Below are 17,188 nucleotides of genomic sequence, written 5' to 3'. Positions count from 1 at the left end.
AAATTTGCATCTGGGGAATGAGAAATTGAAGGTGGAGGTCAATTTTTTTTTTTTTAATCATAGGTCTTGCAGAACTATTTGACTCTAAACCCCATGTACAAGGCCAGGAGCGGTGGCTCATTGTCTGTAATCTGAGCACTTTGGGAGGCCGAGGTGGGTGGATCACTTGAACTCAGGAGTTGGAGATCGGCTTGGGCAACATGGCGAAACTCCGTCTCTACAAAAAAGACAAAAATTAGCTGGGCATGGTGGCATGTGCTTGTAGTCCCAGCTTCTCAGGAGGCTGAGGTGGGAGGATCACTTGAATGCAGGAGGTGGAGGTTGCAGTGAACCAAGTTTGTGCCACCGCACTCCAGCCTGGGCAATAGAGGGAGACTGCCTCAAAAAAAAAAAAAATAAAATAAAAAATAAAAAATAATAATAATAATGAAAGAAACCCCATGTACATGTGTAACTGTGATAAGGATAAAAATTAAATTAAAAAGTTAATGTAGGCCGGGCGAGGTGGTTCATGCCTGTAATCTCAGTCCTGTGGGAGGCTCAGGCGGGTGGATCACCTGAGGTCAGGAGTTCGAGACCAGCCTGGCCAACATGATGAAACCTGGTCTCTACTAAACATACAAAAGACTGTGGCGTGGTGACACGTGCCTGTAGTCCCAGTTATTCGGGAGGCTGAGGCAAGAGAATTGCTTGAACCCGGGAGGCAGAGGTTGCAGTGAACCAAGATCGCCCCACTGTACTCCAGCCTGGCGACAGAGCAAGACTGTGTCTCAAAAAAAAAAAAAAAAAAGTTAATGTAGAGAATGTCACTCACTGAAGGCATTTCTACAACGAACCCATGCTAATGTGATCCAAATATACTGCTTTCTGATGATCTAACTTTATACAGAAATAGCACTCAGAGAATCTAGGAATAGTTGACATATACCCTAGATACCATCTCTCATTAATATCAGGTGTTTCAAATAAGCCTTTGGGCAAGTCAGTGTTGCTTGAACCCCTGGGGAGAGCTGGTGTTCTGTGTCATTGATGGAAGGGCTTCCAATAAACCTTAGAAGACAGAGATAAGACAGCACCATCCTTGTCTTGTGCCATACTAGGTTCCACTGGCACTCTTCTAGACTGTGGGTTAGCGCACTTGTACGTGGATGGTAGATGTGTGAGGTAGGATACATGCAAGTATGTTTTTGAACATTTTTACAACTCTCTAGAATCCCAGAATCTCACAGCAGTAACACAGTAGACATCATTTTGGCCTGAGGGACTCTAACCTCAGTAATGCATTCTAACCCAGCCTCAGTATATTAGCCACAAAGGCATACCGAAGTACCTGAATGTCATCTGATTGGGCAGTTGTTCTATGTCTATTTAACTGATTGAGAAGTTCTACTGAATACAACATTCTTGCTGTCAATATGTTTGAAGCTTCTGACTCTAATAGCCAATAGGATTAGCTGCTTTTGAAGTGAGCACTCAGGTGAAAGGGAACACTGTAGTTGATAAGCTAAGAGGCCAATGCTTATTCAGTTCATAGAGTAACTGTTATTTAATTTAACTATAAATTAAAATAAAGAGGCACATACAGCAAAGCCTTATTTTATACTTTTTAGGATTGAAAGTTCTTTCCTCTGATGTTAGCAGTAATATACCACGATTTTTGAAAAAGAATGACTAATAGCCCGGGACTTAGGGACAATTTAGTTACTATTTATGGAGTCAAGGGAGCCAGTTCTGGTTATGTTGCAAAGATCTACATTATCAACCACTCACAGTGGAAAAAAAAACAGAATATGAGGTAGAGTGGACTCATTTCTCTTGAAAGCTGCTTAATCTTCACATAGGTTTTAGGTTAAGCACAAAATTTTTTCGAGTAAAAAAATTCAAGATATTTGGCAGAAATAGTGTATTTAATCAGTTTACTTTTTTTTTCTTTTTTTGAGACAGGGTTTTGCTTTGTCACTGAGGCTGGAGTGCAATGGTGCAATGACATAATCATAGGTCACTGCAACCTTGACCTCCTGGGCCCAAGCAAGCCTCCCACCTCAGCCTCCCAAGTAGCTGAGACCACAGGAATGCACTACCACACACAGCTAATTTTTTTTACTTTTGTAGACACAGGCTCTCCCTATGTTGCCCATGCTGGTTTCAAACACCTGGGTTCAAGCAATCCTCCTCCCTCAGCCTCCCAAAATGCTGGGATTATAGGCATGAGCCACCGTGCCTGGCCCAGTTTCACCTTTAAAAAATAGGTTAGATAAGACTTTAAATCCATCTAAGGAATTTGTGTTTATATACTATCTTCTGTAAGAAACTCATCAATTAATTTTTGGCCTAACATATGAAGTGAGCAGAGATGATACCTATAAATAAGAAGCCAACATGAATAAGCCATTTTGTTTGTTAAACAGAAGCGTGCTATCATGAACAAATGCCAAACTAGAAGCCACAAAAATGTAGGTTCTATCTTCACTCTGTTATTTTATTTTACAATCCTGGGAAAGTCATTTATTTTCTTCCTTTTAAAAATGGAGTTATAGTAAGGCTAAAATGAAATCATGTTCCATAGAAACCACTTATAATGTGTAAAATATCATGTAAATGTTTATGAATGAACAAATTAAATGTCACACACTGGAAAAGGGAACTTGCACAGAGCTAGCCTTCGAGGTACTGGCTCATATAAATACTATGACTAGGACTAGATTTAAGGGGGATTTCCAAACGTTTTGGCCTTCTGCCATCTTATTGTTGATTTTTAAGTTTCATACATATTTCTTATTTCAAAGAGTTTTTTTGGTGTAATGTACAGTACACCAAATTTTACACCAATCAGTATATGTATAATATATGTATAATAGTTGAAACCCTGGGTTTGATGAATCAGGAGACTAGAATGCTGAAAGTCAGATACCCTGGCCATTTAAGTACCCAACAATTTGTGTTCATAGTAAAGGCTCAACAATATGTGTTCAATGAATGTGGGTCCTGATGAAGTTCAACCTGAAGGGGATGTCAGGCCAGCTTAGATGAGAACTCTATCAAACTGTAGTCCAAATTCAAAGTTGTATGTGTTCCATGAATTATAGTCGACTGTGGCAAAAGAGAACTTGGTTCAACATGCCAAAATTCTCATGCTTTCTTTTTTTGGATTTTTCAACTGATCACATGGCAATTATTAGTGAATTTGTTTGCCTAATTTTTTTTTGAGACACGGTCTTATTCTGTCCTCCAGGTGGGAGTGCAGTGGCATGATCACAGCTCACTGCAGCCTTGACCTCCCTGGGCTCAAGTGATTCTCCTGCCTCAGGCTCTACAGTAGCTGGGACTACAGGCATGTGCTACCATACCCAGCTAATTTTTTAATTTTCTGTAGAGATGATGTCTCGCTATGTTGTGCTATGTTGCCTAGGCTGGTCTTGAACTCCTTGGCTCAAGCGATCCCCCTGCTGCCACGCCTTGGCCTCCCAAAGTGCTGGGATTACAGTCTGTGAGACACCACACCCACCTACAGCCTCTTTTTAATTCTTATCCACTTGCCTTCTTTATGTTGTGTCACCAGATGACAAAACAGCATAACACACCTATTTTCCTTCCACAGTCTACTTTACGTAATTATCTTCTAGATACAACAGGAAGCGTGCAACTTGTTAGCTGTGATCTTCTGGGAAATTCTAGGAAGCTCAACAGATTGTGAGTTTCTGCTAAAATGTTAAGATACTTTTTGTGTAGTGATATCTTTTTAAATGAAAGTGAGTCTAGATTTTAACAGGTATAATAGTTCATAAATAATAAGCAGAGCAGCTACTCTGGATATTTCACATTTATTCAGTTTTTATGTTTATGGAGATCTTTTTATGTTTTATGTAGTTGTGAATACATTGTGATAGAAATTTGTATGCTGATTTTTGTTATTTAACAGATTAGAATATTTATTGCCCTGCATTATTAAACATTTTTAAAATCTATTTTTATAACATACTTTTCTGATAATAAAAGCAATAAACCAGCCTGGGCAGCATGGCAAAACCCTGTCTCTACAAAAAATACAAAAAAATTAGCTGGGTGTGGTGGCACATGCATATAGTCCCAGCTACTCAGGAGGATGAGGTGGGAGAATCATCTGAGCCCAGGAAGTCAAGGCTGCAGTGAGCCATGATCATACTGCTGCACTCCAGCCTGAGCGATAGAGGAAGACCCTATCTCAAAAAAAAAAAAACAAAAAAACAAAAAAAGCAATAGAAAATTTGAAAAATATATAGTAGTATAGAGAAAATAAAAAATTATCCACAATCCTACAACTGAATAATAATAATTATCATTAAAACTTAGGTATATTTCCTTCCATTCTCTTTAAATGCATTTTTTTACATAACTGAGATAATCCTTTTTGTATACTGTTTTTCTTCACTCATGTGTCTTAATCAGTTTTCCACGATTGAAACTTTTCATAAAAATTATTTAATGTCTGCATAACATGATATAACTTTGAGATACCACAATTTGGTTAACTTTATTTAGTCAGGGCTTTTTCTTTCTTTTTTTTTTTTTTTTTGAGACGTAGTCTTGCTCTGTCGCCCAGGCTGGAGTGCAGTGGAGTGCAGTGGTGTGATCTCGGCTCACTGCAATCTCCACCTCCCGGGTTCAAGTGATTCTCCTGCCCCGGCCTCCCAAGTAGCTGGGACTACAGGCGTGCGCCACCATGTCCGGCTAATATTTAACTTTGTATTTTCTGAATACCATAAATCCACATTAGTATGCCTTTCTTATACACAAATTATTTGTTTTGCTCTCCCGCTAAGTTGTAAGTCCCAAGACTAGCGACCATGTCTGTAGTAAACACTAACTGGAGTAGCTGATGATTCCTCAGGTGACTCTCCCTGTCCTACCCCTTGTCTTCCTCTGGCTCTAGCTAAGCTATCTGAATGGAAGTGGCCATCTTAAGGGACCTTGCTTTTCTAGCCACTTGATTGGTTAAGGGGTAGGCTTGTAAACCAGTCTGAGCCAATTGCAAAAGCTCACTCCCTACACCACAGTCATTGGTCCACTGATGGACATGTGACCTAAATGGGGCCAGAATTTCATTCAGGAGTTATGACGGAAAAGGTATTCCTTTTCCTGTAGAGGAACTGTAAGACTGAGAGCCCAAAACTGCTAGCAGCACATCCTCCACCAGAGAAAATTGGTCTGAGCAGAGAAACAAATAGAGAATCCTTTATTCAGTCCTCTTCTTGCCATTCAAGATTTAATTTTTCAATTATTTATTAAGTTCTGGTCAGGCGCCGTGGCTCACGCCTGTAATCCCAGCACTTTGGGAGGCCGACGTGGGTGGATCACTTGAGGTCAGGAGTTCAAAACCAGCCTGGGCAATATAACAAAACCCCGTCTCTATTAAAAATAGAAAAAGTAGCCGGGCGTGATTGCGTGCGCCTATAATCCCAGCTACTCGGGAGGCTGAGACATGAGAATCGCTTGAATCTAGGGGGCGGAGGTTGCAATGAGCCAAGATCGGGCCACTGCAGTCCAGCCTGGGCCACAAAGTGAAACTCCATCTCAAAAAAAAAAAAATTATTTCTTCAATCCCGATAGCTCCCCCCACCCATCCTTTCAATAAATCTCCTCTCCTTTTATATGCTTCATCTGGTTTGAGTTGAGTTTCTGTCATTTGCAAACAAGAAGGTCCTAAATCGTATAATATTTAAGCAGTATTTTGAAATCCTTGTGGCATAGATCTGTAAAATGGTACTTCTATATCTAGTATGCCCTATTTCATATCTGGTCAATCACCTTAACTTAAAAAAAAAAAAAGCTGTAGAAGAAATTTTTTGTTGCCAATCCCTTTAAATTCTGTTCTGAGCCAGGTGCAGTTGCGTGCACCTGTAGTCCCAGCTACTCGGGAGGCTGAGGCAGGAAGACTGCTTGTGCCCAGGGTGAGTTCCAGGCGGCAGGGCACTATGATGTCACCTGAGTCTAGCCACTGCACTTCAGCCTGGGCAACAAAGAGACCTCTGCTAAAAAAAAAAAAAAGAATTCTGTTCTGAAAGTTTTTCTAGTTTATTTACTCTCTACAGCCCTTCAGTTACAACACCTGAAAACTGATTAGGGTTATAATATATTTCATCTCAAACAAGGCAAACTCCAACCCCCCTAAATTTACAGTTTTTATTTGTTGAGTAGCCCTTAAAATAGTGGTTTATTTATTTTACATAACAAATGCCATAGTGGAACTGGAATTAATTCTTTTTTTTTTTAGAGATGAAGTCTTGCTATGTTGCTCAGAATGGCCTCCAATTCCCGGGCTCAAGGGATTCCCCAACCTTGGCCTCCCAAGTAGCTGGGCCTATAGGCACGTGCCACCACACCTGGCTTAGAATTAATTCCTCTTTTTTTTTTTTTTGAGACAGAGTCTCACTTTGTCACTTAGTCTGGAGTACAGTGAAGTGATCTCAGCTCACTGCAACCTCTACCTCCCAGGTTCAAGTGATTCTCATGCCTCCTGAGTAGCTGAGATTACAGACGTGCACCATTATGCCTGGCTAATTTTTTTTTTTTTTTTTCGAGACGGAGTCTTGCTCTGTCACCCAAGCTGGAATGCAGTGGCACAATCTTGTTCGCGGTAACCTCCGCCTCCTGGCTTCAAACAATTCTCCTGCCTCAGCCTCCCGAGTAGCTGAGATTACAGGTGCCCGCCACTGCGCCCGGCTAATTTTTGTATTTTTAGTAGAGATGGAATTTCACAATGTTGGCCAGGCTGGTCTCAAACTCCTGACCTTGTGATCTGCCCACCTTGGCCTCCCAAAGTGCTGGGATTACAGGCAGAGATGGGGTGTCACCATGTTGCCCAGGTTGGTCTCGAACTCCTGACCTCAGGTGGTCTGCCCACCTCAGCCTCCCAAAGTGCTGGGATTATAGGCGTGAGCCACCACATCCAGCCAGTATTAATTCTTAAACTTTAGTATGAGGCCAGGTGCAATGGCTCATGCCTGTAATCCCCGGACTTTGGGAAGCCAAGGTAGGAAGATTACTTGAGGCCAGGAGTTTAAGAGCAGCCTGGACAACATAGCAAGACCCTGTCTGTAAAAACCAAAAACCAAAAACCCCAAAACCAAAAAATTAGCCGGGCATGGTGGCGTGCATCTATAGTCCTGGCTACCTAGGAGGCTGAGGCAGGAGGAATGACCCCAGGAAGCTGAGGCTGCAATGAGCCATGATTGGGGGCCCTGGTCTCAAAAAAACACACCAAAGCCCAAAAACTTTGGTATGCATCAGAACAACGGGGATGTTTGTTAAAAATGCAGATACCTGGCACCTACTAATCTGTATCAGACCAAGAAAAGGTTAAGAGTACTCTTTAGATTTTTTCCATTCACCAAAAAAAAGAAGTCTGATCTGTCATCTGTACCCTTTAATAATCTTAACTTTGGTTGAGAATACAATTTAAGGCTGGGCGCAGTGGCAGGCGCCTGTAATCCCAGAAACTCAGGAGGCTGAGGCAGGAGAATCGCTAGAACCCTGGGGGCAGAGGTTGCAGTGAGCTGAGGTGGTGCCACTGCACTCCAACCTGGGTGACAGAGTGAGACTCCGTCTCAAAAAAAAAAAAAAAAGAGAATACAATTTATTTTCTTTGATTTTTATAAGAAAATGAGATTCTGCCACATATTCATCTTACATTTAAATTATACTTACCTTATTTTAATAAACAATACCAAGTAAACACCTTCAGGCATTTACTAAAGATCTTAATATTGAACCAGCGCCATCCAGCTCTTGCAAAAGAATAGTGGAAACAGATATTTGAGAAAGACGTGACCCGAGAACATGCTTAGTATTGAATCCTTTACTATTTCTTAACGCTATCCCTCAAACAAACTAAGATCACCACAAATCCACATGCTTGGACTTTGTTGGTTTGGCTCTCTGAGGAAATGCTTTCAATTTCTATCTTAATTAACTCGCTCCCATTCAATGCTCAGTTTACTGCAGCCTGGATATTGCTCCACCATGCTTCTAAAACTGCCGTCGCTAAGGTCAACAGCAAACACTGGTTTAGATGTTAAGAAGGTGCTCTTCAGAGCCAGTTCAGCTCTGTTTGAATCCTGCTTTTGCCACTTCCTGGTTTGGGGACTTTGCTTAACTCCTTTGTGCTACTCATTGTTCTTTTCTGTAAAATGGGGATAATGATGGTTACCTACAACCTAGGATAACTGAGAGGCGTGAGTGAGGTAAAGCTTGTTGGGATTAAAGCAGTGCACATAGTACACATTCAACAACCACTGTTCACCAAAATGTGAGCTCCATCAAGGGCAAGGTCAATGGTTTGTTCAAGACTGCATCCTGAGTGCCTGACATATAGTAGGTATTCAAATACAAGTGAAATGAATTACTAATTCCAATTGCATATTCAGGTCCTTTCTTACTTGATTGTACCGTGACAATTGATCAATGGTCATACAGCAATTATTTTGTGCCATATTAACTCATTTAATTCCCATAACAATTCTATGAGACAGGTACAATTATTGTATGCATTTTATAAATGATGGAACTGAAGAACAGAGGAGTTGAGTAATGTTTCCAAGCTCACACAGCTAGTAAATGGTAGAGCTAGAGTTAGAACCTGGGCAGTCTGGTTTTAGAGTCTTTGCCTGTAACCTATGTTTGCTGCTAATCATTTCTCCCTAACTGAAACTCTCTTCTACTGGCTTCCATGAAAACATCCTCTTTACATCTCTGACTCCTCTGGTTCCTCTCTTTCTGCTCATCTCTGTAACGTTGACATTTTCCAGAACTCTGTCCAAGGCCATTGTCTTTACATACTTTACATGTTTGCTAGTTGATGACTTCAATTTCCACCTGTACTCTGATGAATCCCAAATCCACAGCTGTATCCCAGTTATCCTTTGTAAGGCTCAAATCTCTGTGTCCAGTTGTTCACCGGACCACACTCAACATATGTAAAATAAATTTCTTAGTTTCCCCAATAAATGCGCATTTATTCCATTTAATTCTCTACACTGGGAAATGATACCACCACCCATACCGTCACTGAAGCCAGAAACCTGAAATTATCTGGAACTCAGCTCTCTCCTTTTCTTTCCATGTCCAGCATCCACATCCAATCAACTGTGTCCCCTAAACACCTCTGCATTCTCACAACCATTTCCCCATTTCTGTTTCTCTTTCCCTGACTACCTTCCTAACTGGTTGCCCTACTTCTGATCTGTGCCACTTTAATCCACCTCCTTCATTGCTACTAGAGTTATTTAAAGAAAAAAAAAAAGGTGGGAATTGAACAATGAGAACACATGGACACAGGAAGGGGAACATCACACTCTGGGGACTGTTGTGGGGTAGGAGGAGGGGGGAGGGATAGCTTTAGGAGATATACCTAATGCTAAATGATGAGTTAATGGGTGCAGCACACCAGCATGGCACATATGTACATATGTAACTAACCTGCACATTGTGCACATGTACCCTAAAACTTAAAGTATAATAATAATAAAATAAAAAAAAGAAAAAAAAAGAAAAAACTCATTACATCACTTTTCCCATTAAAATTCTTTAATAATCCCCTCTTCCTAGAGAATAGCTGAACTCCTTGACATGATATGCAAAACCTTTCATGATCTGGTCCTTTCTTCCTTTCCAGTTTCGTCACCTTGCCTGTCTCACTTGAAAACTAGTTGCTCCAGCAATTCTGAACTCCTTGGAGGTAACTCTGGCCTGGTTGGTGCTCTCAAAACTCTCTTTTTCAAATTATCTCAGAAATGTCCTTTCCCAGCCGTCTCCCTGATCATTCCTTCTACTCCTTCAAGGATCAGATCTTTATGGCCAGACACGGTGGCTCATGCCTGTAATCCTAGCACTTTGGGAGGCCGAGGTGGGTGGATCACCTGAGGTCAAGAGTTCAAGACCAGGTTGGCCAACATGGTGAAAACCCATCTCTATTAAAAATACAAAAATTAGCAGGGCGTGGTGGCAGATGCCTGTAATCTCAGCTACTCAGGAGGCTGAGGCAGAAGAATTGCTTGAACCCGGGTGACGGAGGTTGCAGTGAGCCGAGCGAAGCAAGACTCCATCTCAAACACAACAAAACAAAATCAGATCTTTAGAAAAATATCAAATCAAAATGCTTCACACAAAAAAGAGGCAGTCACTTCATGAATTTTGGCTTCCCTTTGAAAACTCACTGTCTTCCCTTGGTGAAACTGAGTTTTCTACTTATAAGCTTCTTTTGGTCTATTTTTAAAAATAACTTCTCTACTAGACTTCTTGATGGTTAAGATCCACATCTTAACCCTACTTGGAGTCACACAGTGCCTGATACCTAGTGAGTACTCAATAAATGTAAATGGATAATGTAAGAATTATTACTAATTACTCAGTTTCCATTGTATGTAGATAGAAGAAATAGACTTTTGTCTAGCACACATTGAATTCTAGCACACATTGAATTTTCATTATGTGCTAGGCATCATGTTAAATGTTACCTACTTTATCGTGACAACCCTGTACAATTACTATTATTACTGAATAAGGAAAGTTAGCCTCAGAGAAGTTAAGAAAACTGCCCAAAGTCACAGGGTTAGTGTGTGGTAGAGCTCGGAGTACCGGAGTACATCCAAGTTTGTTTGACTCCAAACCTTTTTTTTTTTTTTTTTTGAGATGGAGTCTCACTGTCACCAGGCTGGAGTGCAATGGCCTGATCTCGGCTCACTGCAACGTCCACCTCCTGGATTCAGGCGATTCTCCTGCCTCAGCCTCCTGAGTAGCTGGGATTACAGGTGTCCACCACCAAGCGTGGCTAATTTTCATATTTTTAGTAGAGACGGGGTTTCACCATGTTGCCCAGGATGGTCTCGAACTCCTGACCTCAAGAGATCCACCTGCCTCGGCCTCCCAAAGTGCGGGGATTACAGGCGTGAGTCACCATGCCCGGCCCCAAATCCTTAGCTTTTAACCTTTACCCTCGACTGCCCCTTTGGATCCTGTTTGGTTCTTCTGCAAAACTGTCATCTAAAATATTCTCCTTAGCCAGGCACAGTGGCTCACACCCAGCACTCTGGGAGTCTGAGGTGGGTGGATCACTTGAGTCTAGGAGTTCCAGATCAGCCTGGGAAACACGGTGAAACCCCGTCTCTACAAAAATACAAAAATTAGCTGGGCGTGGTGGTGCATGTCTGTAGTACCGCTACTAGGGAGGCTGAGGTGGGAGGACTGATTGAGCTCGGGTCAAGGCTGCAGTGAGCCATGATCGCACCACTGCACTCCAGTCTGGGCAACAGAGCGAGACCCTGTCTCAAAAAAAAAAAAAAAAAGAAAAGAAAGAAAGAAAGGAAAGATATTCTCCTTTATGTCACTCAGTATTGCTCTTAGGAAATATTTTTTGTGAAAAATAGATCTTATTATCAGACAGTGGGAACCATGTAGTAACCCATCACGTTCTCTTTCTTGGGTTGGCCACCTGGAGTGAAGTGAAATTCCTGTTGGAATTATTTTATCTTTTCCTGGGCTTCTGGCTTCTTTCAGATTTTATTTTTGGCCAGGTATGGTGGCTCACGCCTATAATCCCAACACTTTGGGAGGCCCAGGCCAGTGGATCACTTGAAGCCAGAAGTTCAAGGCCAGTCCTGGCCAACATGGTGAAACCCTGTCTCTACTAAAAAAACAAAAATTAGCTGGGCGTGGTGGCACATTCCTGTAGTTCCAGCTACTGGGGAGGCTGAGGCAGGGGATTTGCTTGAACTCAGGAGGCAGGGGTTGAGGTGAGCTGAGATCGTGCCATTTCACTCCAGCCTGGGCAACAGAGTGAGGCTCTGTCTCAAAACAAAACACAAAAACAAAAAAAAAAACCCAGATTTTGGCCAGGCGCAGTGGTTCATGCCTGTAATCCCAGCACTTTGGGAGGCTGAGGCGGGTGGATCACTTGAGGTCAGGAGTTCGAGACCAGCCTGACCAACAAGGTGAAACCCCTCTACTAAAAATACAAAAATTAGCTGGGTGTAGTGGTGCATGCCTGTAATCCCAGCTACTTGGGAGGCTGAAGCAGGAGAATCAATTGAACCCAGGAGGCAGAGGTTGCAGTGAGCCAAGCTTGGGCCATTGCACTCCAGCCTGGGCACCAAGAGCGAAACTCCATCTCAAAAACAAAACTAAACTAAACTAAACAAAAACAGATTTTATTTTCAACTACCCAGTGATATACATAGATAGGTATAGTTATATGTATGTACTAAACATATATCTGTATATATTATATATATGAAAATCTATCTATGAGAATAGAAATAAAATATTTATATTTATATATGACTTATGTATATATACATTTTATATATATATGATAGGATAGTTAGAAGTAAAATTTGAAAAAAATCAGAAGCCCAGAAAAAGAGAAAATAATTCTACCAGGAATTTCATTATAGTACATATAATAAATTCATTTTAGCTGGGCACCTGTAGTCTAGCTACTAGGGAGGTTGAGGCAGGAAGATCACTTGAGCCTAGGAATTCGAGGCTGCAGTTGCTATGATCCTGCCTATGAATTGCTACTCCACTCTAGTCTGGGCAAAATAGAGAGGCACTGCCTCTTGAAAACTAAATAAATAAAAATAAAAATGAGGCCACTTAAAAAATAAACACACTTTAAATAAACCCACTTTTTTGTTCAAATTTATTATAGCCCTTATATTAAAATAAGAATCTAGGAAAAAAATCTAATCTTACCTCCAAATCAAATCAATATTTCATTTGTCTGTCTTACATTTCGATCCTTATTCGCGTGCAGATTGTTTTCTATATTTACAGTAACATGATACATAGAATTTTATATTCCACCTCTTTTCTTGACAACATCAGCATGTTTTTCTAGTTTGCTCTGTCTCACTTGTTTCTCCTTTTCTTTTTGTTTTTTGAGATGGAGTTTCGCTCTTGTTGCCCAGGCTAGAGTGCAGTGGCGCGATCTTGGCTCATGGCAACCTCCGCCTCCAAGGTTCAAGTGATTCTCCTGCCTCAGCCTCCCAAGTAGCTGCAATTATAGGTGCTCGCCACCATGCCAGGCTAATTTTTGTATTTTTAGTAGAGACGGGGTTTCACCATGTTGGCCAGCCTGGTCTCCAACTCCTGAACTCTGGTGATCCACCCGCCTTGGCCTCCCAAAGTGTTGAGATTACAGACATGAGCCAACGCGCCCAGCCTGTCTCACTTGTTTCTGACTTACCTCCTCTTCCTCTTATCCTTCCCATTAGGAAACCAGTGACGACGACAACAGTTTGGTGTGCATCCTTGCACATCTTTCTCCTGTGTAATTATTAATAGTTACATTTGGGCAGAAGAAGGGAGAGTTTTGCTATTTGTTTTACAAAAGTAAGAATATATAACATAATGCATCTTTCCTCTTGCTTTTTTTGTTTAACTATGCAAGGACATCCCTCCAGACTAATATAGCTCCAACTCATTCTTTTAGTTGCCTAATATCCTAAGGGATAAAGATACCACAATTTATTCAGTTGTTCTCGTGCTGAAGGGCATTCAAGTTGTTTCTAGTTCTTTGCCACTGTGCACAATGCAGCAACAAGCAACCTCAAAAATACATATCCTTCACACTAACGCTTTTGTTTCTATAGGATGTAATCCCCAAAGCGGGAATTGTTTATAGAAAGTAGATTGGGGCCATGTGCACTGGCTCACGCCTGTAATCCCACCACTTTGGGAGGCTGAGGCAGGCAGATCACGAGGTCAGGAGATTGAGACCATCCTGGCTAACACAGTGAAACCCCCTCTATTAAAAATACAAAAAATTAGCTGGGTGTGGTGGCAGGCTCCTGTAGTCCCAGCTACTCGGGAGGCTGAGGCAGGAGAATTGCTTGCACCTGGGAGGCGGAGGTTGCAGTGAGCCGAGATCATGCCACTGTACTCCAGCCTGGGTGACAAGTGAGACTCTGTCTCAAAACAAAACCAAAATCAAACAAACAAAACAAACAAACAAAAAAAGAAAGATTGGAACAGGATTTGTAAATACATAAAAGTACACAGCATAGTAACATACATTCAAAAAAGTTCAGTAAATGATGACAATAAGAATATTTGACAATACGGTTACCTAGCAGCCTTTTTTTGATGGCAAAAGGTAAGTTTCCCAGCAACCAGAAAGTATACGTCATTGAATGAGAATCTATAAGGAAAGTACAAGAGGCAGAAACTGGCCCATAGCTACTGAAAATCATTGTTACCAACTGCATTTCTTGTTGTACTTGCTAGGTGGAGGACCAGGGTTACTTGAAGCCCTATTACTAAATACTGAGTCCCTAACCCTATGAGCTAATCAAACTGCAATATGCTTTTAATAAACTTGAGCTTTGAAAAGTCTCACCAATTGCATTATCTTGAAGCTAGTGACTTAAGAGTTATGAAGTTGTTGGCTGGGGGCGGTGGCCCACGCCTGTAATCCCAGCACTTTGGGAGGCCGAGGCGGGCAGACCACCCTGGCTAATACTGTGAAACCCCGTCTCTACTAAAAATACAAAAAACTAGCCGGGCATGGTGGTGGGCGCCTGTAGTCCCAGCTACTCGGGAGGCTGAGTCAGGAGAATGGCATGAACCCAGGAGGCGGAGCTTGCAGTGAGCCAAGATCACACCACTGCACTCCAGCCTGGGCGGCAGAGCAAGACTGCGTCTCAAAAAAAAAAAAGAGTTATGAAGGTGTCTATTTAAGACAATGTGTGTGAAAGAGCATTTATTAGGAGTCAAACAGTAATCCTTGGCTCTGCCAACTTGTCAGCATTGTGGCACTTTGAGCAAGCCTCAAAATCCCCATATATAAGAATAAAGCTAATAATACTCACACTGCCTCCTTTGCAATGTTGTAGTGAAGAACAAATGGGTTTATGTAAATGAAAGTGCTTGAGAGAGCTATCCAGATATTAGCACTGTTAATACTATTCTTATTCCTGAGGAGGCAATGTGCTATGTATGGGGCACCTGTCCTGTTCTTTCTGTTGCCAAGAAAGAAAATATTACCACTTAAAAAAGATTGATTCTGTAACAATCATGAAGTGTACTGTAAAAGTACAGATCAATATAACAACAGACTTGATGTCAACCACTGAATCTATTTGCAGATAATGCTCAAGACTTCTAGAACAGTGTAAATATTTACAAAGTCGCCTCAGTTTTCAATGTTTCATAGATAAATGAGAATGAAATCATCAAGAATGTTTTTTTCTCTTTCCCTTAGTTTCTATTTTTAACTTCTGTACAGTATCAGATGTAATATCCTGGTGTTCTTTCCCAACTCCTGGCCCCTGCCCATAAAGTACACGCATGCTACAGGAATCCAGCTACACTTTGGATGCTTCCTGCCCAATTAATGTTATTTTTACTGTGACTAAAGCATTGAGAAATAGGTACCTCTATAGAAAATACTTCATATATTAATACATTACAGATGAACTGTTCTATAAATGGAATAGTAGAAACCACCTAACAGACATGAGAGATCATTCAATTCAGAAATGTGACATACTTTCAGTATTGACTCTTTAGTAGGACAGAATGTTGCTATAAGGAGTTCCAGAAATCACAGTGCCAGTTGAAGTTTGGCAGTTGGTTCCTTCCAGCTGTTTTTAAAGGTATCCTCTCTGCAGGAATTTAAAAGTGGCTCATAGTATGGCTTAAGATGTTTATGTTTAGCTGTTTCTGTTGTGATTCTTCCCTTTGAGAAAATAGGATGTTTTTCTAGTAGTAAAGGGTTTATGAAGTTCTGTGGCATTAGATCTAAATGATCATGACTGTGAATACCTGGTAAAATTAATGGAGAAAAAAGACATCATGTGTGGGGCATACAATTATGGGGCATAAAATTAGTTACAAAAAAACTAATTTTTATTGTTAATGTTATACGTTTCAACTGGTTGTGGCAGCATCAGATAGACACCCCAAGTGAAAGAGAAGCAGAGAGTCCTTGGCATGATTTCAGGTTTCAGACTCCCTCATGGTCTTTAGAAACATCCTTCTGGGGCTTCCTTACCATGCTGTTAGGTGTACATCTGTTGAGGACAGGCAAAAAGAGAAAAAAGCTTTTGAGATGGAAGCTGCCTGTATCTAAAATCCTTTTAAATTCTAAATCCTATTTTCAAAAGGAATATTTTTGTTGTGATCATTTTACATTTAAGGTTAAATGTATTAAAATTAAAAATGTATAATAAGTAACGTGGTAGTGTAGTAAATAAAAATATGAAGCATACTCTACTTTCTCAGTTTACCAAAACGTGGGGAAAAAATAAAACTTACAAGACAGATAAATTACAAGGGTGATTATACCATTATTAAAGTGCTCTTTGATTTTCTTTTTATTTATTTATTTTTTAGAGATAGGATCTCACTCTGTTGCCAGGATGGACTGGAGAGCAGTGGTGCGATCATAGCTCACTGCAGCCTCCAACTTCTGGGCTCAAGTGATCCTCTCACCTCCTGAGTAGCTGAGACTACAAGCATGCAGCACCACGCCCGGCTAACTTTTAAATTTTTGGTAGAGACAGGGTCTTGCTATGTTGCCAAGGCTTGTCTCAAACTCCCAGCCTCAAGCAGTCCTCCTGCCTCAGCCTCCCAAAGAGTTGGGATTACAGGTGTGAACAACTGCACCTGGTTAGCTCTTTGATTTTCAAAGCATCATATAGATTTCACATAAACAGCTGGGTTTCTTATACGGAAATAATAATGCATGTTGTTCAATGTTCAGGAAATTTTATTTGTTCAGGAAATTTTATTTGTTCAGGAACTCATCTATTGTACAAAGCAAAATATTCCTATCTCATAAATAGAATTAAAATTTGAATGACTTACTCTTAAATTTTTATTTATGCAGCAAAATAAGGAATAAAAAATTAACAATTATTGAGGGAAGAGGGACTCTTAATTATCTTAGAGTTTTTACATAAATCAGAAAAAAGATTTTTTTTTCTTAACTATTTAGAATTATCCAGAATTGGAGCAAACAAGTAGCCTATAAAATGAGTACTAAACTCAAGTACTGAGTGGCTTGAATTTAGTCTGCACTAAATGGATCTTGACCAAGGCTACTGGAAGGAGGAAAGTGAGTGTTGGTATTGAACTTTGGGACATCGTGTATACACAGTAAAAAAAAGTGTAGCTATAGTTGAATTTTTAAAAGTTTATTATCAAAATGGAA

General features: G+C 40.7%; 6 annotated features.

Moving 5' to 3' along the window:
• Positions 2,892–3,392: an enhancer, noted in NCBI's record as "H3K4me1 hESC enhancer chr1:200397147-200397647 (GRCh37/hg19 assembly coordinates)". NCBI's record gives its function as "activates a minimal SCP1, AML or CMV promoter by ChIP-STARR-seq in primed H9 embryonic stem cells {active_cell/tissue: H9 hESC(primed)}" and the evidence as "EXISTENCE:reporter gene assay evidence [ECO:0000049][PMID:30033119]".
• Positions 3,393–3,893: an enhancer, noted in NCBI's record as "H3K4me1 hESC enhancer chr1:200396646-200397146 (GRCh37/hg19 assembly coordinates)". NCBI's record gives its function as "activates a minimal SCP1, AML or CMV promoter by ChIP-STARR-seq in primed H9 embryonic stem cells {active_cell/tissue: H9 hESC(primed)}" and the evidence as "EXISTENCE:reporter gene assay evidence [ECO:0000049][PMID:30033119]".
• Positions 11,332–11,832: an enhancer, noted in NCBI's record as "H3K27ac hESC enhancer chr1:200388707-200389207 (GRCh37/hg19 assembly coordinates)". NCBI's record gives its function as "activates a minimal SCP1, AML or CMV promoter by ChIP-STARR-seq in naive H9 embryonic stem cells {active_cell/tissue: H9 hESC(naive)}" and the evidence as "EXISTENCE:reporter gene assay evidence [ECO:0000049][PMID:30033119]".
• Positions 11,833–12,333: an enhancer, noted in NCBI's record as "H3K27ac hESC enhancer chr1:200388206-200388706 (GRCh37/hg19 assembly coordinates)". NCBI's record gives its function as "activates a minimal SCP1, AML or CMV promoter by ChIP-STARR-seq in naive H9 embryonic stem cells {active_cell/tissue: H9 hESC(naive)}" and the evidence as "EXISTENCE:reporter gene assay evidence [ECO:0000049][PMID:30033119]".
• Positions 14,033–14,532: an enhancer, noted in NCBI's record as "H3K4me1 hESC enhancer chr1:200386007-200386506 (GRCh37/hg19 assembly coordinates)". NCBI's record gives its function as "activates a minimal SCP1, AML or CMV promoter by ChIP-STARR-seq in primed H9 embryonic stem cells {active_cell/tissue: H9 hESC(primed)}" and the evidence as "EXISTENCE:reporter gene assay evidence [ECO:0000049][PMID:30033119]".
• Positions 14,533–15,034: an enhancer, noted in NCBI's record as "H3K4me1 hESC enhancer chr1:200385505-200386006 (GRCh37/hg19 assembly coordinates)". NCBI's record gives its function as "activates a minimal SCP1, AML or CMV promoter by ChIP-STARR-seq in primed H9 embryonic stem cells {active_cell/tissue: H9 hESC(primed)}" and the evidence as "EXISTENCE:reporter gene assay evidence [ECO:0000049][PMID:30033119]".

This window comes from Homo sapiens, chromosome 1 (genome assembly GCF_000001405.40).
Source record: "Homo sapiens chromosome 1, GRCh38.p14 Primary Assembly".
Classification (NCBI taxonomy): domain Eukaryota; kingdom Metazoa; phylum Chordata; class Mammalia; order Primates; family Hominidae; genus Homo; species Homo sapiens.
The sequence above is the reverse complement of the archived record's forward strand: the minus strand, read 5'-3'. Positions and strand labels throughout refer to the sequence as shown.